General features: G+C 33.3%; 2 annotated features.

The window, feature by feature from the left end:
- Nucleotides 17,266–18,057: an enhancer, noted in NCBI's record as "OCT4-NANOG-H3K27ac hESC enhancer chr1:195817479-195818270 (GRCh37/hg19 assembly coordinates)". NCBI's record gives its function as "activates a minimal SCP1, AML or CMV promoter by ChIP-STARR-seq in naive and primed H9 embryonic stem cells {active_cell/tissue: H9 hESC(naive and primed)}" and the evidence as "EXISTENCE:reporter gene assay evidence [ECO:0000049][PMID:30033119]".
- Nucleotides 18,058–18,850: an enhancer, noted in NCBI's record as "OCT4-NANOG-H3K27ac hESC enhancer chr1:195816686-195817478 (GRCh37/hg19 assembly coordinates)". NCBI's record gives its function as "activates a minimal SCP1, AML or CMV promoter by ChIP-STARR-seq in primed H9 embryonic stem cells {active_cell/tissue: H9 hESC(primed)}" and the evidence as "EXISTENCE:reporter gene assay evidence [ECO:0000049][PMID:30033119]".

The following is a 20,145-nucleotide window of genomic DNA, read 5'->3' as shown; positions in this document are numbered from 1 at the left end:
TTCTTTTTTTTTTATTGAGTTAGTGTTCGTTTTGGCAGTTACTATAATTGCATATTACTGAATTCAGGAACACTGGCCAGAAAAATAAAATGAGAACTGGTGCAGCGCTATTTCAATTCACATACTAGTTTCCGTATAAATGACTTCCCAAGCACGCCACTCCTCTCTCTCCAAAGGCTTCCAAAACACAACAAAAGGAACATGATCAACAGCATTTTTTAAACTCAAGGCAAAACAAGTGGCAGAAAACCAAAATATAAAAGGAACAGAGCATTCTCTATAATTACACTTCCAAAAATGTTTCATTGCATATGTTGTCAACAGTTCTTATTGTGTATGTTTAATGTTATTCATAGTTTCTGAAATATATGATTCTTAAGAATTTCTATTAAGGCAGAAGTCCTTTTCTGTTAAGCTAGTATGAATGAATGACAAAAGTAAACTTCTATGATATATTATAGAAGGTAATTGTTTCCTGAGCTAAAATATCATCATTTCAAAGTGATGGGAGAGAGGCTAGCAAATTCAGGGAAATGAGAAATATATCTAGTTAACAGAGATAACAAATGAGAAAAACAATAACATTTACAAATAGTTATAAAAGTAACACTAGAATTTTCCTAGTAGCTCAAGCTGTTTTATTCTTCTTAGTAAAAGCACAAGAAGATTTAATGTGATATAAAACATTTACTGTGCTGTTACTTTGTATCATGTTAACAATAAAAATTGCTTATGAGATCATAAAGTTATAAGCTATGCTTTATAACTAAGCAGAGTCTGATTTTGTCTTTATGTGCTTGTTAATATGAATTTATCCTCACTGATAGTTACTTATAGTCAAAACTTAGGGCTACTCCTCTCAGTACCTCAATTTTTAAATTTTCCTGCTATTGTTATTCTAATCTAGCTATCTCATCATTTAAAAAAACAGCCCAGATGATGTTTACAAACTAAACTCTATGCACCTAGTACGATTTCAAGAAATATTTGTTAAAAAATGATGGGATAAATAATTATATAATTGACTTAACTTTTCAATAATATTTTTCATTCATGGGTAAAAGAGTATTAAGGACAAGTTTTAAATTATGTTAATAATGTTTGGCTTTTACAATTATCTTGGCTGTTGTGTTTGTTTTAGCTATACTTTTTCTTGTGAGATTATATGCTATTTATAAAGATAATGCCACACGAAAAAACATTGTTTTACATTTGAGATTTATTTAACTCCGTATTTTGAAAAAAAAATAATTGTAGCAAATTCTAAAAAAAGTACAAAGATTCCTTTTGTATCCTTTACTAAGCCTCCCCCCAAAGGCAACAGCGTACATAACTGTAGTCCCATATGAAAGCAAACAAAAAATGATACTGGTATAATAGTATTAATTAGAACAGGCTTTTTCTAGATTTTACCAGGTTTATAAACAGTCATTTGTGTGTGTGTATGTGTGTGTGTGTGTGTGTGTGTATGCTTAGTTCTATACAATTTTATTTCAAATATAAATTTGTATAACCACCACCAGAAACAAAATACAGAAATGCTTCATCACCACCTAGAAATATATATGGAGTGGTTTTGAATTCATTCTGTTTTAGTATTTTGCTAGCTGTTAGATATTTAAACTGAACTGGTTTACTTGGACTTGGTAATGTATTCAGTTGGCCTATTATGTTTTCACCAAAGAGAAGTTAAATTGTTTCATTTCCCTAGTATCTATATCACTAGGTTAAAAAGGTTTTTTAACAATGTACTAGTAAAAATAATAAATTGCTTAATAAATTATTTTATTTGCTGTTATCTTCACAGGTTACTGTATTAGTTTTCTAAGGTTGCCATAATAAAGTACCACAGACTGGGTGGCTTAAACAACAGAAATTCATATTTTCACAGTTGTGGAAGCTAGAAGTCCAAGATCAAGGTGTTGATAGAGTTGATTTCTTCTGAGACCTCCCTCCTTGGCTTGTAGATGTTCAGTCTTCTTCGTATGTATTCACATGATCTCCCCTCTGTCTCTCTCTCAATCTTCTCTTCTTATAAGAATACATGTCCTCTGGCCCAGTGGATTAATGCATACCTACATGACCTAATTTTAATTTAATTACTTCTTTAAAGATTGTATCTCCAAATATAGTCATTATAAGGTACTGGGAGTTAAGACGTCAACATGTGAAGTTTAGAGGAGACCCATTCAGCTTATAGCAGTTGCCTACACTTCTTTGAATAGTGGAGTTAGTGAAATAAAGATTACTAAAAACTGGTGTGGAGAGAGAAGGGTTCTTAGGTTCCCATCTTTACCATTCTAGCTGCTACACTCCCTGTTAGGCACAAATCAAATTTGCTTGCCTTCACTGATTCATAATTTTGGTGAAACCACAGTCATTTGCAAGTCATCAAACTATATATCCAAGTAACCAAAAGGTCTTTGAATAATTTGACCACTTTATAGTTGTTATTATTTGCATATTCATCTGAAAATCAGTGACAGGAGAACAAAAAGCATCTGTGAAGAGCTCCCGTTTGCAACGCTGAGGTATTGTTTGGTTTCTACAGAGTTATCCCAAGAAAACAGACCTCACTGAGCATTCAGTTACAGCCAGCCATACAAACAGGTGGGCTCTTCCTGGCACTGGGTAAATCTGTAGACTTTAGTACTTTCATGTGCCCCCAAATTAGTTAACTGGCTCCTAATTTTAAAAATCTGAATGTAAATTAAGAGTCATGATTTGTTTAATTCCAGTGAAATCATTAGTAGCACTAGACTGGTAATGTTTTAATTCCTAGCTTCCTTCTGAGTACTACAAGGGTTTCTACAAGTATTTAAAAATACTGAATTCACAAATTATTTCCATTGCAACATATCCTGCAACTAGGCTAGACAAAAACAAAACAAGGAAAAACTACTATACAAGAACAAGAACAAAATTTAGGCTTTTCTCATAATTTTAACACATCATATTACAAACTCTCCAGTGGTATTCCTGTATATGATTCAAACCACTGGTTTCACCAAAAAATTTATGCAAGCCCTTGGGGTCTAGATTTAGGAGAACTGGAATCAAATCAAAATTAAAAATTACTGGCTACAGATTGTAAACAATTCACTCAATATTTCTTTCTAATTTTTTCCTCAGTAAAAGAGGGATAAGTTCAGTGATGCTCAGACAAGGTTATTTTTAACTTCAAATATGACTATGAGTGAGAAGAAATCCAACTCTAAAGCAATATGGGAAAACTAATAATTATTATGCTTTCATCTTAAATATTGTGAAGCTCAATTTGACAATTAAATCTATACTAGTATTTCATTCTCATCCACGTTTATGTTTGTCCAATGAGCTATTTATTATTAACAAAATCTATATGAAATATTTATCTTTCATCACTTTTCAGTCTTTTAAACAATGCACCACTATTTGTTTTTCTTTCTTTCTTTTTTTTTTTTTTTGTAGTAACCACATATAATTACCCTTTAAGTCAGGCTTGCTACTATTTATTGGCACAATTCTGCAGGTAAAATGTAGACTGACCTATGAAATTATATGTTTTGCTATACTGGCTTTAAAATTATTAGGAAGTTTTTGAAGCAAAATATAATATTTAAAATTATCTATCAAACATATCGTTTAAGTTTTCCTTACAAAGTGTTTGTACAGCTTAAAAGCAGCAAGTTGATTGTCCCATTATTATATAAATTATTTAAAGACACTGAATTCACATAAAATACATTCCAGTAAATAAAGGAAAATCAGCATTTACTTTTTCCTTATCTACCTGATTTTAAGTAAATTTATTCTTTGTTTATACTTAATTAATAAACAGCCATAGAGCAACATGTAGTTCCACATCAAAATATCCATTCAGTCAAAGGAATATAGGTACTTAAGATATGTTCGTGTACATTGTACTACATTGGTGGAAAAGTTGCACTGCTCTGTGTCCATTTTAGAGTTAAAATTATCACATAGCAGCATTGTAATCATTCTCTAAACCAACTTGTTTAGATTCAGTGTTAACAATTATAAAACAAGTCAAAGGGAGGAAAACAAAATAAATATTTTATTGAAAATGTTTGGTGTATTTTTTATGGTGGGCTTATGTTGTAATTAAGTTTTTCTCAGGATAATACTAAATTTATTTTAGATTTAATCAGTAAATTCTTTGACAAAACATCAATAAGATAAAGGTAGCAGAAACTCAAACCTACACCAGGTTAGATGGGAAAACCTGCATTGGATTAAAATATTGCCAAAATCATACATGAAGTGGATCAGTTAGAGCTATTAGATCTTTATCACTTAGATCCATAGGAGGCCAATAAATGCAGACCTTACTAAACCTTGACAGAAAGAGTAATTATAGATAAGAAAAAAAGAACTCAATGCATGCAATTTAAATGTTAGTGTGAAACCCGGTACTTGATAATGCAGTTTGTTATACAGCTTGAATAATCTCTGTAACTCATATGATCAGTAGGTGTCTCTGGATTGGTTCTAAGGTAATAGATCAACCACTATGACGAAAGATAAAACTGAACCAGCCAGGCCAAAAGAATGGGATAAAACGTTCCAGGTACAAAAGCCCTGAAGTAGAAACTATTTCATCATGCTGGACAAAAAAGTATTTCACTCTCTAATATCTCTTAGGCATGCAAAGTAAAATAGAGGAAGGGCAAATTAAAGATTTAAAGATTCATTCAACAATACTAAGAACTTGTTATGTTTCAGACATTATTCTAATTTGGAATATATAAGCAAGGTTGTGATATTTTCCTAGGGGAAGTTCATTTTATCTAAAAGCACCTTAAAGTATTGGAGTAATTTTTTTTTTTGAGACTGAGTCTCGCTCTATCGCCCTGCTAGAGTGCAGTGGCGCAATCTCAGCCCACTGCAACCTCCACCTCCCGGGTTCAAGAGATTCTCCTGCCTCAGCCTCCCAAGTAGCTGGGACTACAGGCACGTGCCACCACGCCCAGCTATTTTTTGTATTTTTAGTAGAGACGGGGTTTCACCATGTTGGCCAGGAAAGTCTCGATCTCTTGACCTCTTGATCTGCCAGCCTCGCCCTCCCAAAGTGTTGGGATTACAGTCGTGAGCCACTGTGCCCGGCCCAAATGTTATGTTTATTACTTTTATTCTAAAGAAACTTGATATTGGAGCAATGTGATACATAAGATGGCATGTGAGGAAACTGTAGAAATGCAGTGTGAAGAAGGGCTTGGAAGACAGCATACACAAAGGCAAGGTGGTGTGATGGCCTCTCCCAGTTAGTGGAACAAAATCTCCAGTGTGGATTGGATATAGAGTGTGAATAATTGGAAGAGAGTTACCTGACACTCATTCAATATTGTGATTTGTTCAGGATGTTAAGCCAAGTATTAATCTTTTTAATATACAATATTATGATGTGAGTTATGCATGTATTTTGGACTAATTACTGGCAGAAGTTTCAAATATCAAGAATCAATAATTGAAATGCATTGTTTTTTCATTTGCCATCTGTGGGGCTTATTTTTATTTTTCCAATTCAACTACTACTTTAGTTTGAATTAACTTTCATTAACATTTAAGCAGTGTAGACTTAATGGCAAAAATATATTCATAAATAATATTAAATAGGTAATGCTTGCTTTTTAATTTAATCAGTAACATTATCAACTTAGATTAGTGGAATTAAAATGTGATGTCTCATCTTGTTCTTTATTTACTGCCCTTAAAATACAGCAGTGAAATATAAACCAGTACTTTTCAGCGTAGTGAAGAAATTATGGCTTTGGGCTAACTATGCTTTGATCAATGCAGATGTTAAATCTAATTTGATCTAAATTCTCTGTGGATATTAGTAATTAACATACTAACTATTGCCTGGGGTTCAGTAATTTTTTTTATATTGGAAAGTGATTTTTTGTAACCACAGGGTTGAATTTTATTTTCCTCAAAATAGAAATAGATACCCTCTAAATTTCAGGTACATAGATTCTCAGAGAGTACAATTTATAGTCAAGCAACTCAACCGGAATCTTCAATTACTTTAGTATATAATAATTCCTGCAAAAATGCACTAAAATTCAGTAACTCTGTTGCAAATGCTGCCGTGTTCAGCTCATAGAACTAGCACTTTTAAATTGCTAGTGCCTGCATCTCTATGCCTTGCTCTCCATTGCTATTTCCAAAAACTTCTTTTTATATATTTTCCAAATCATTCAGCCTTGAAGCTCATGTAATGTCTCTGCTTATTGCTGACGTTTCTAAACACCTAAGTCAACATTCTTCTAATATCTTATTTTTGTATGTAGTTTTAAATGACATCCTCTCTGTTCTTTTTTTAATTTTCCAGCGAATTATTTGTTGATTTCATTTATGTTTTCCAAAAAACAACTTTTCATTTTGTTGATATTTTCATTTCCTTTGTCTCCATTTTGTTTTGTTCTGCTCTGATATTTATAATTTCTTTCCTTCTACTAATTTGGGGCTTGATTTTTTTTTATTTTTTATTTCTATAGGTTTTTGGTAACAGGTGGTATTTGGTTACATGAGAAAGTTCTTTAGTGGTGATTTGTGAGATTTTGATGCACTCATGACCCGAACAGTATACCCTGAACCCAATTTGCAGCCTTTTATCCCTCACCCCCCTCCCACCCTTTCCCTCAAGTCCCCATAGTCCATTTATCATTCTTATGCCTTATGCCTTGCATCCTCATAGCTTAGCTCTCGCTTATGAGTGAGAACATAGAATGTTTGGCTTTCCATTTTTGAGTTATTTCCCTTAGAAAAATATTCTCCATTTCCATTCAGGATGCTGCAAATGCCATTAATTCATTCTTTTTTATAGCTAGTAGTATTCCATCATATTCCATACTATATCATAGTAGTTTCGTTATCCACTCATTGATTGATGGGCAGTTGGGCTGGTTGCATATTTTTGCAATTGCAAATTGTGCTGCTATAAGCATGTGTGTGCAAGCATCCTTTTCATATAAGAACTTCTTTTCCTCTTGGTAGATACCCAGTACTTGGATTGCTGGATGAAATGGTTCTATTTTTAGTTTCTTAAGGAATCTCCACACTGTTTTCCATAGTAGTTATACTAGTTTACATTCTCATCAGCAGTGTAGAAGTGTTCCCTTTTCACGGCATCCACACCAACATCTATTATTTTTATTTTTTTATTTTTTGAGTATGGCCATTCTTGCAGGAGTAAGGTGTTATCGCATTGTGGTTTTGATTTGCATTTCCATGATTATTAGTGATGTTGAGCATTTTTTCACATGTTTGTTGGCCATTTGTATATTTTCTTTTGAGAATTGTCTATTCATGTCCTTAGCCCACTTTTTGATAGGAATGTTTTTTTATTTTTTTTCTTGCTAATTTGTTTGAGATCCTTGTAGATTCCGGATATATATTCTTGCTTTTTAAATTTCTTGAGGTGCATTGTTAGGTAATTTGCTTGAAATATTTCTACTTTTTTGACATAGGCATTTATTGCCAAAAGTTTTCCTCTTAGTACTAATTTGGCTATATTATTAGGTTTCAGTATGTCATGTTTCTATTTTCATTTGTTTCAAAAATTTTGTTGATTTTCTTCTTAATTTCTTCATTGGCTTATTGATTGTTCCAAAGTATGCTGTTCCATTTTCATGTATTTGTGTATTTTCTGAAGTTTCTCATTATTGATTTGTAGTTTGATGTCATTGTGGTTTAGAAAATATTTTAAATGATTTTGATTTTTAAAAATTTACTGAGACTTATTTTGTGGCCTAATATATGGCCTATTCTGAGAACTGTTCCATTGTTGATAAGAAGAATATGTATTATATATCTGTTGAATGAAATGTTCTGTAAATATCTGTTGAGTCCATTTAGTATAAAGTGCAGTTTAAGTCAAAAGTATCCTTGTTCATCTCTTGTCTAGATGCTGTGTCCAATGCTGAGAGTGGGGTATTGAAATTCTTAACAATTATTGTATTAGGGTCTATCTCTCCCTATAGCCGTAATAGTATTTGCTTTATATTTCTGGATGTTCCATTTGGAGCTCATATGTCCATTTATCATGATATAATGATCTTCTTTCTCTACTTATAAATTTTTTGACTTAAAATCTATTTTGTCTTGTATAAGTATAGCTATGCTTGCATACATTTCATTTTCATTCGTGTGGAATATCTTTTTCTATCCTTTCACTTGCAATGTATCTGTCTTTACAGGTGAAGTGAGCTTCTTGGAAGCAGTATATACTTTTGTCTTGGATGTTTTTATCTATTCAGCCAGTCTATATATTTTAAGTGAGGAATTTAAACCATTTACATTCAACATTGTTATTGATATATGAGGGCTTACTCCTGCCATTTTGTTAATCATTTCTGATTGTTTCTCATAACCTTCATTCCTTTCTGTCTCTCTTATTGTTTATCTTTGCAATTTGGTGGATTTCTGTAGTGATAATAGTTGATTCCTTTCTCTTGCTTGTGTATCTGCTCTTCTAATGAGTTTGAAACTGTCCTGTATTTTCATGATGGTAAATATTATCCTTTTACTTCCAGTTGTAGAACTCCCTTAAGCATGTCTTGTAGGGCTGATCTATCACAAAGAAGAGTGAGAAATTCTCTCAGCTTTTCTTGGCAGGGAAAGCTTCATTTCTCCTTTATTTCTCCTTTATTTCTAAATAATAGAATATTGTTTTTCTTTCTAAACTTTGAATATATTATTCCATTCTTTCCTAACCTGTAACATGTCTGCTGAGAAATCTGTTGTTATTCTGAAGGGGATTCCTTTATATGTGACTTGATGCTTTTCTCTTACTCTTAGAGTTCTCTCTCTCCTTGACTTTTGACAGTGTTCCTTGGAAGCTATCTTTTTTGGACTTAGTCTGTTTTAGAATGTTTGGGCTTTCTGTATCTGTATGTCTACATCTCTCCCACATCTTGGGAAGTCTTCAGCTATTATTTTTATTAATTTTTTTCTATGCCTTTTCCCATGTCCTTTCCTTGCAGAATTTCCAAGTTGGAAATTTGTTTGCTTCATGTGATCTCATGTCATGTAGGCTTTCTTCATTTTTTTATTCTTTTTTTCCTCTGGCTCAGTTTTTCTAAAAGATTTGTCTTCAACTTCCAAATTTTTTTTTCTGCCCAATCTAGCCTATTGTTGCAGCCCTTAATTGTATTTTTTATTTTATTTATTAAATGTTACATTTCCAAGATTTTGGTTTGGTGCTTTTTTATAATATCTATTTATTTTGTTGAATTTCTCATTCAGATAGTGAATTGTTTTCCTGATTTATTTGGATTGTATGTCTGTGTCTTCTTGTATCTCACTGAATTTCCTTTAGAACATTATTTTTATTATTTTTTTCAGACATTACATAGATTTTCTTTTCTTTGGAGTCTGTTGGGAATTAATGTGTCCCTTTGGAGATGTTATGTTTCCTTGTTTTTTCATATTTCTTGTGTCTCTACATTGATATCTATACATCTTGGGTAACAGTCACTTCTTCTAATTTTATCAAGTACCTTTTGTATGGTAAGACATTGCCCTGTAAATGTATTTATAGTGTTGGTTGAGCAGGGTGCATTGGCTTTGTTTCTAGCGGGATGCAGGAGTGTAGTCTCCATATGATTTTTTTGGCTGTAATCAACATCAATGCTGTCTGCATATCCTTCAGTGGCTTAGGCTGCACTTCTTTGTGGAGGCTGTGGCATGGCTTTGCTGGGGATAGGGATGCCAGGTGTTGCAATACTTGGGATCCTAGTGGGCATACATGGACACTGGAAGTAGTGGTCATGGATCCTGGATGAGCTGATCATTGGATTCCTGGACAGTGTGCAGAAGCATGCAGCAGCCTTGTTCCTGGAAGGTGTGGGTTTGTCAGGCAGTAGTGGCGGAAGGTCCTGGGTTGCATGGTCATTGATTCCCTGGGTGGCAGGCCTGGGCACTGGCAATAGCAGAAGCAGCCTGAGTGAACCAGTCCCCAGGTCCTCAGGTGGAGTATATAGGTGTGCAGTGACTCCACCACTGGAGTGGGTGAGGTCACTGCCAATGGTGATGGCCCTGGGCAAGCAGTTCTCAGGCTCTGAGGAGAAGGCACTTCTACTTTCTATATCCTGTGGGTAACCTTCCTAATGTGCTGGACCATCTATTCCTCATGGTTTAGTGCTCTGCATGGGCTCAGGTGCCAGGGATATGACTGCAATGCTGGGTCCAGCTGGTGTTGTAATGAAGAAACCCTCTGGGTGGATGTCGGGGATGTCAATGGGGCCTTAATGATACAGATATGCAGGGGCTATTGGGCTGCAGGACAGGATCTAGTCTGATGGTGACTCCATTCTCAATATGATGCCATGCTGCCTCTGCTAGAGTTCTGGGAATGGAGCGGGGGCCCGATGTGAATTCCCTCTCTGAATGTAGATGCATGTAGTCAGGCAGCTCCCTAAAATAGGCTCAGGGTCTGTGAAGGCTGAGGGGCTCTCCTGTAGCTAGGATTGCAGGTATCTATGTGGAAAGGTGAATTGTTAGGGACCTCCCACTTACCTTTTTCCCACAATGGGGAAATCCCTCTTGGCTCCACGCTGATGCTGATACCAGCTGGCTGCTTTGCTTCCCTTTCCTTGCTGTCCTCTCAGATTTCCATGCCTCAGAGGGTGTTTGTCACTTCCTTGCTGAATTATAGTGTACTCTCTTTAATCTCTTAGATTCCATATTCACCGCGTGATTATCTACTTGCTGTTTTTGTCCTTTCTTTGTGGAGGGAGTTAGTTCTGGGTGCCTCTAGTCAGTCATCTTAATCTGAATCATATTTTATTTAATTATTGATATAGTTATGTTTAATCTATCATCATGTCATTTATTTTCCATTTCTCCCAACCAATCTCCATTCCCTTTTTCCTCTTTTCTACCTGTCAATATTATGTTGACTACTCTATAAAGACCATCTGTTGTTCTCCAAAATATTTCTTCTGTTTACCTGTATCCTCTTTGGTACCCTGTTCTACAAATTCTATTTGATATGGAATCCACAGACTCAGCTCCAGCTCCGTAAGTCAAGGAGTCTATGTATCTTTGACTCATATCTTCCTTTACTTGGAAACTCTATCAAGGTGGTAAATTAAGTAATTGTAAGGCTCAGTTCATTTATTTCCCATTTCTGAGAGACCACTGTCCTTCATTGCCTGATATTCAGTATCTCAAAAATTGTTTCATGTATTTTTGTTTGTTTTGTTTTCCTTGATCTGTTCAGGGAGAGGCTGAGCCTGATCTCTATTAGATCATGTTGGCTGGAAATGGAAGCTGAACCCAGACAATTTTACAATTTTGACAATCCTTCCCTTTTTCTGTCCACTTTCTTCCACCTATTTCCAGGCATTATTTTATTTTTGCCCAAACTAGTTTGGGAAAGAGTAGAGAACATAAACATAAATAGAAGATATTAGGTCATATGTGTAGTGTCACCCAACTGATGAACTAAAATAAGACAGTGGTTTAGCGTATTGCGCTGATCTATTTTCAAACATTGATTTGATCTCCATTTCAAAACTCAGTCTTTTGTTCCAATATCAGAGAGCTCTCTAGGTTATTATTTGCTCAGCATATTTTAAATCAAATATTAATTTTTGAAAAAGAGTAAGTATATCTATTGTTTAGTGGTTAAGATTATGACCCTTAGCATTTGAATCCTAGCTTAAATAAACAGGCAAGGTTTTTGTTATTCTATATTCTTTTTCCTCAGTAGTAAAACAGTGATATACATTGTGCCTATTTCCTAAGGTTTCTGTGAAGTTTAGATGAGTAAAATGTAACATAAGAAACAAAATAAATTAGCATTACCCTCATAAAATAATTTTACAAATAGTCTCAACAGCATTGAAAACAATGTATTCATCTTTACAATGTTTCAAATGTGTATTTTCTAAAACTATGTAAGAATAAGTGCACTAAACAAATTACATATGAAATCTCAAATTCTATCTATCCTAGTGTCACCAGGGCTTATTCTTAAAGGAGACATCCATAATAATTCTCTGTATGAAATAGTGTCTTTCATAACAGCCAACCTCAATTCACCTCCTTTGAAATGGTGTTTTTGCTCAATTTTCCTTGGTTCTTGTGACTGTAGGGAGCTTATCACAGCAGGCTTGCAAATAAGAAACAACATTTCTCTCTTCTTGGTCCATTACGTATAAAATTGTGATGTTAAAATGCTTTTTGAATCTCTTGGATTAGTGTAAATGATGATGGCTTGAAGTTTTCCTGTAATTTTTAAAAAGACTTTATCTTTTTTTTAGAATAATTTTGAGTTCACAGAGAAGTTGCAAGGAAGGAATAAAAATTTTCTATATATCCTCTGAACCCACACATGCCTAGCCTCCTCCATTGTCAACATCCTTGCCAAAGTGGAATATTTGCTGCAATTGATGAACCCACATTGACACATCTTTGGAAATTTTCAAATATCATTTTCTCCAAAATGAAATAATGATTCATAATGACTCACTCAAGGCAAAATGGATATGTTACTAATGAGCATTTTCTTTAATTGAATGGGTCCTATTATTGCAAAATAATGCTCATTATTCTTTGGCAAATCTATGTCAATACATATTTTTGTGGATTCTTAAAGAATAAGGATTTAAGCATATGCAGAAGCACAAGAAGTTAGATTTCTTTTTAACATAAACAGAGTAACACAACAAAACCCAGCAGACATCAGTGAATCTTCAACTGTGAATAAAGATTGCATGGAAGTGTATTATTAATAAAGTCAAGTCATTTTTAATAATAATATTGAATGTCACTATATGAGATTGGCAATAGTGAGTCAAGCTTTATTGCTAGGTTTTTAGTGAAAATCAATTGGAAACCTTGTCATCACCATTGTGAAGTAGTTAAGTAATAAATATCATAGTGAATTGAAGAATCAAGTAATCTGTTGTAAACAGATTATTGTCACATTACATTAGTATCATTAATTACATTACATATTATATTAGTATTGCATTGTTAGTATCACTAATGTGAAATTAATGTGATACTATCACATTATATTACTATCACTAATTATTATCATTATAGTGCACTTCATGAGAGTGTGATTGTAGGCCAACATATTAGTGGCTTATTATGTCTACATAAAAAGCTTGTAGAGAAAATAATTAATTATGATCATGATCATCCTCAGCAGCAATAGCAGCAAGGATAACAGGGTATTCTCACTTTAATGCAAAATTCTCACTTCCTTATTCTGAAGGAAACCTCCTAAAGATACCTAAAATATGCAGAGACAGATGGATAGAGAGAGAGAGAGACAGACAGAGAATGGATTTATCTAATATTAAAGTTTTACGTATGTAGGTAGGTAGATAGATGATAAACAGGTGCTATGCATGTCATGTGTGTTCTTTTAAGTTAACAGATACTTATTTTCACTAATTTTCAAACAGAAGCAAAGTTAAAGACCTATTTAATAATTTTCTTTTTTCCTTTTATTTTGCATTAAGCAAGAAAGAATAATGATTTTAAGTGTTCTAGTCAGATTGGAATCACTCTTGTGGGGATTGAGAAAAGACGTTCTGAAGAAACAAATGCAGGAGTCTGTTCTATGTGAATTAAATATCTGCTTATTTTTTTACCCTAATTTTAAGTATCTTAAGAATTTTGTTAACATTATTTTATAACATCACAATTAAGAACATTTAGCAATGTGTAAAGAAACAGAAGTTTTAAAAGTTTTAAATATTTTAAAAGTAGTAAGCATATAATAATACAGCCTATATCTCAGTATTGTGATAAATACTGTATAATTTACCCATGAATGGTGTAAAAGAAATGGTAGACACAGAAAGCAAAACTGTTATGGTTATTGCTGCTACTTTGTTCTATAATATCAGTGACATATCATAAAAAGATTACTCCTGACAAGAAAATTCTTAAACCTTTAGGAGAAAAATTTAAATTATGTTTATATGTATGATTTGAACTCAGTTTTATGAATTAATGTTAACTATGTTAATGTTGGTTATTTAGTAAATATCAGTCTTAAGTAAATACAACACACTAAAACAAGAAGGGGGGCATTCCAGCACACTAAATTATTTGCAGAGGCATATTGTAGTCCTTCAGTTGGAGAAGAATTGGGGATTTAGGAACATAAAAGACACATTAAACACCTTGTGAAATCTTACAGAATGAATAAATATAATATCTCTAGGTATTAGAACTTCACATCAAAATATAAACTCTTGTCCTACTTTTGTATTAAAAATCAGATGAAAGACAAATAACAGTGAAATATTGAAAGTTCTTGTTAGTTTTACAGTCTAACAGTAACACATAAAAACCTGTCTCTTATTTCACTGTTGGGCATTTAGCAAGATGTTCTAAATTCCTATTTGTTGAATAACACAGGTCTATAAAAATAGCGTGTTGGATGAGACCTGTGGCTTGCTAGGAACATGGACAAAGGAAGTAATGTCTATGAGCACAGTTTATGTGTCAGGCAAATAATTTAAAAAATAACACTGAACCTTCATAGCCACCCTGCATGCTCAGGTCAATATCCCATGTCCGCTACTCCAAAATAAAATAAAGTAAAATGAAACAAAAACAGTAAAAAACAAAGTATAAGTTTTTGTAAATTCATTTGTTAGCAAATCATGCTTTAAATGTGATGCCATTTATACTTTTTTTAATCTGACCAAGTGAGAATATTTCTTTGTTTCTCTGCAGAAATATTAACAGATTTATTAAGTGTCATATAGTATGCATTACATGTATTGTATTACTAGTCTTCAAAAAATTTAAAAATACATTCCAAAATATACGTGGTCCCAAGCATTAGTGACATTGTGCCTGAAATAATTCACTCACATTAGTATCAATATAGTGCACTTCGTGAGAGAGTGTGATTGTAGGCCAACATATTAGTGGCTTATTATTTCTACTTAAAAAAACTTGCAGAGAAAGTCATTCATCATATCAGCCTCAGCAGCAACAGTAGCAAGAGTAACAGGGGTATTCTCACTTTAATGCAAATAAATGAGTCAGGACCTTTTCGATTGACTTTTGATGAGCCAGAGCAGAGAGTAATTTCCTCTTTTTAACTGTATATTTGTGACAATAGTATTTATAGGAAAGCTGTTAATGTGTTTCCCTTCTGTTTCATCCCCTTTCTGCTGAAGAGAATTATAGCTGTCCTACGAATGCTAAGGAGTATGAGATAGCACAGGCAAGTCTTACAGGTACCTGCGTCAGTCTTAGCTGGACTTCTCAGGAGCAGCTGGTTTGCTTTCCTCAGCAGAGGCTCTAAATTATATGACTGATCTTGTGTTTTATCATTAGGAAAACATGGTTTTAAGGATAGTTAGAAAAAAAAATTGTGTCCAAAATAGCTAGTATGTATAATATCTTTTGGCAGATTTTTAGAATGATAAATTTAATAGGGTTTCATTTTATTTACCCCAGTAATTTTTCTTTTTCAATCATTTCCCAAGTTAAAAATTTTTTTTGTCACACTGAATAGTATGGAATTTTGGAAGCTATATTAAGAATTTTGGGAACAAAGAGGCAAATGTTTAAAATACTTCACATGCAATTTGTGTTGTACTTTTTCACTTAGCATTATAACAAAAAATTATGTGTTATTGAAACTCTTCCTAAAATTATTTCAATGACTACATAAAGTTGCATTCCTCCATGATTCACTTTGTCATGCACTAGTTTAGTGTTTTTAGCTTATTCTCAATTTGTTGTTATTATAATTATGTTATTAACATCATTGTGTGTAAAACTTAGAAAATATTTCAGATGAGAGGCTGTCAAAAAGTGAGAGAAAAGTTTAATATAAGGCCTATGGTATATATTTTTAAAGTTAATCAATACTTGAAAGACATACACATTAGATTAAAATATACAAAATTCTTGTCTAGAGGTGTCGCAGATGTAGTAGGGATAAAGGAATAGTCCTGACATGTTCAGGCCTTAAGCAGTTCCAGGAAAAAGACCAAAATTATATTGTTACTTTCATAAGGGAGAGAGCTATTAAATTAAAACATGTTTATGATTATTTATTTCTAAAGGCCTTGTAAGACTCTCATTTTTAATAGAACTGTGTTAGAGAAATTCAACCATTGTCTTCATAGCCATTTTTGGGGTGGAAAATTGTTTCAAAATTTTAGGTTAGTAATGTTTGTATATGTTTGTTAAAAATTTTATTTGATTTATAAAAATTCCAGAACCCAAGAATGCTTACTGTAAAATACATAAAATAATGTCAGGTATAAAAATAAATAAATACATAAAATATATCACTGCCTTGCAATCCTACTACATTTTTCTAGGAAATTTATTTTTCTACATATAAAGATAAGATCCTATCTTTTTCTCTCTCCTCAGACTTCTTATGATTCCATCCTTGGCTCCTCCATTGAGATTTGCCTCATAATTCATTGGGAAAGTACAAACAAATCTCCCCAAATCTTCACATTTGCAACACAAAGCTACTTGTATCTCTACTAATACTACTCATAGTCCCTGTCTTTGATTATCTTACAGGGGGAACTGGATTTGCTGTTCCAAACAAAGTCTAACTGCTAAAATTTTTATTTAATTCTCATGCCCTCTAAGTTTCTTAAAGAACATCATTCCTGAAATAATATTCACCTAAAATCCTAAATTTTTCTTTTTATATTGGGTCATTTCCATTGGCATAAAAATGAAAGAAACATTTCTCCTTAAAAAAAATCAAAACACAAAGGCAGACAAAAAAAATCATAATTGTACCTCTGCTCATTATATCACTCTACTCCCATTTTAATAAATGGTACAATCCTCCAATTTCTTACTGAATTCTCATATCTCAGAATTACTCTTAGTTATTTTCATCACCTTAAACCTCACACTTATTCCAGTAGCACCATCTTACTGCAAGCAATAACTGCCTCTACTTTCTTAGCTAGATTTCATGCTTTTACATGTGTCCCTATAATATATTTTCATTTTAATAGCCAATGTGATAATTCAAAATCACAAATTACGTCATGAAATTCTTTGGCTTAAAGAGTCCTATTAACTTCTCATAGTGCTTAAGGAAAATATATACCCCTTTCCACAGTCATCAAGAAACTACACCTATATTTAGCTTCTTACTCATCTATATCTCCTGATTTTTTTTTGCTTTCTTTCCCAGATTGTCACACTTTTGTGTCTATTTTATCATTTGCTACTCAACTCAAAAGTTACCTGGCCATGGTGAGTACTATCACTGAAATTCCAAGTAAGCTTAACAGTGAAACAAGAAGTAAAAATGAATTGTGTAATTACAGCAAGCAATAAATTTCTTTTAGGTCTTCAGGATAATCTTTAAGCAATTTTTCCTAAAACAATATAAAAGACAGTAGAATCCATGTTCATAGGCATCTCTGATTTGGCAGAATCTTTCTTCACCTGGGCTCATGCAACACTGAATTTCGGGTGTGTCTCTGTTAGCCACATAGCCTCATATATATTTTTTTGTGCAGTTGAATTTATTTACATACATTTTTGATACTTTGATAGTAAAATAGAAGCAGAAATGTATTCAGTTGAATTTAAGTCATCATTCTCTCTAATCCTCAAACCTTCATTAGCCTTTGAGATCTAGCAAGCTCATCCTATCTTATGTGGGACGAGGATCTGTCAGAGAGAGCAGGGCCTGGCTGTCCCTGACCCCACTAGTGTACATTCCTCAACCACCAACTTTCTCGATCACTCACATCTATTTCATTTTCTTGATAACACTTGTCAGTCACTATCTGAACATATATGATTTGCTTACTCATTACCTTGTGTCCGGCCTCTGAACCCAAGCTAAGCCATCATATCCCCTGTGACCTGCACGTACACATCCAGATGGCCGGTTCCTGCCTTAACTGATGACATTCCACCACAAAAGAAGCGAAAATGGCCTGTTCCTGCCTTAACTGATGACATTCCACCACAAAAGAAGCGAAAATGGCCTGTTCCTGCCTTAACTGATGACATTAACTTGTGAAATTCCTTCTCCTGGCTCATCCTGGCTCAAAAGCTCCCCCGCTGAGCACCTTGTGACCCCCGCCCCTGCCCTCCAGAGAACAACCCCTTTTGACTGTAATTTTCCTTTACCTACCCAAATCCTATAAAATGGCCCCACCCCCATCTCTCTTCGCTGACTCTCTTTTCGGACTCAGCCCGCCTGCACCCAGGTGAAATAAACAGCCTTCTTGCTCACACAAAGCCTGTTTGGTGGTCTCTTCACACGGACGCACATGACATTTGGTGCTGTGACTCGGATCAGGGGACATCCATTGGGAGATCAATCCCCTGTCCTCCTGCTCTTTGTTCAGTGAGAAAGATCCACCTACAGCCTCGGGTCCTCAGACCAACCAGCCCAACGCTGACTCTCTTTTCGGACTCAGTCCGCCTGCACCCAGGTGAAATAAACAGCCTTGTTGCTCACACAAAGCCTGTTTGGGGTCTCTTCACAGGGACGTGGAAACCTTGTATTTCTCTCCTTCCCACAAAAGTTAAGTTATGTTGGAAGAGACTCCTATGTCTTGCTGTCTTTTATATTCTTAGTTTATAGACTGTAGTAACTGGCACAAAGGTGTTCATTAAATGTGTTTAACTGAATGAATAGAGCTATATTTATATTGTTATTCCTGGTTAATATGTAAAAAATATATATTTAATGCTGTATAATATAATTACTTATGCATCTTTCTTCCATTTTCTATAACATATTTACAATTTTATTCACCAGAATTCATTATACTGATTAATGTACTTGTGGTGAAATCAGTCTCTAAGGATGATTAAATTTTCCACCAGTTATCATAATTGGGAAATGTAATTGAATAAAAAGGTTATCGTGTATACAGAGACATATATTTAAAAAACACACCCATAAACCAAAGAAATAAAAAGAAAAATAAAGAACTAAATAGATAAAATAAATGTGCCTTTTGCATAAAATTTGTATTATTTGCAAAGAACAATGCCATGCCATTGAGGTAACTAAAAATAAAAACAGTATTACTGGTTGTAACTCAAGAATCAAATATGTCTATATTTTAATTCATTAAATAGCTAATAAAAAAGAGAAACATTTTTAAACATTTATTGAAAACTTTAGTCAAAACTACATATAATTTTATTTGTTTATGAGAGTTTTCCTAAAAAACATGTTTATTAAAGAAACATAAAATGTTTCTTAAACAACTTTGAAGTAAGTCATATTTTCATTTTTAATTTTTCCATTGGGAAGTTATTTCTTAATGTAATACATCTGGTTAGTGACAAAATCAGAATCTGACTTCAAGCCTACCCTGTTGACTCTATGCTGCCTCCCTTACATGCCCTCTGACTCTGTATTCAATGACCGGGACATTTTAATCTACCTTTAGTTTATCCAGAGTTATCAGATCATGACTAGACTGAAAATTCAATAAGAATTGATAAATATTTTCCTAGCCTTCAGCATGGTCTTTCTTTTTGAAGGTACTTTTCCAACATTGTTCATAGTTTGCTGTTTCCATTTTTAAAAATAGTATTTAGCATTTGCTTCAGATCTTTCAATAGTTTGTCAAGATAAAACTTGCTGTCTCAGCAGGCATAATAACATATAAGCTATTTTAAACTTGTATATGACACTATGATTACATCCTGATCACTCACCTGTAGTTTTGGTTTTATAGCAAAATATACTTTCACAGGAATAATAACTTAATACTTAATGTAACATTTGAATCCACATTCGGAAATAGAGTAATGGTTATAGTCAGTCAAGTATTCACGGAGAAATCATTTATGTTATCTATTGAAACTATTCGATATCCTTCTCAGAATATCAAATATAATTGTGCTAATCAAATGCATGTAGAAATCACCATTTCAGTAATATTTTACAAATAAAATGATGCTTTATACTTCTTCCCTTATACTAAATATAATAATTTTAATGGAATATCCATAAAATGTAAAGCTGTTATCATTCTCTTTCTGGAACACAAAAATTTTAAGAAGCTAGAAAAAAAGTCTTTTTTAAAAAAAGTTGGAACTTCATACCATTACTTTCTAGAAAATTAAAATGTATTATTTCTGAAGATCATTGACCTGTACTGATGTTAAAACAATTTTAAAAATATG

The sequence above is a fragment of the Homo sapiens genome, chromosome 1 (assembly GCF_000001405.40).
Source record: "Homo sapiens chromosome 1, GRCh38.p14 Primary Assembly".
In the NCBI taxonomy this organism is placed as follows: Eukaryota; Metazoa; Chordata; class Mammalia; order Primates; family Hominidae; genus Homo; species Homo sapiens.
Note: the sequence above shows the minus strand (reverse complement) of the source record. Positions and strands in the feature narration are given on the sequence as shown.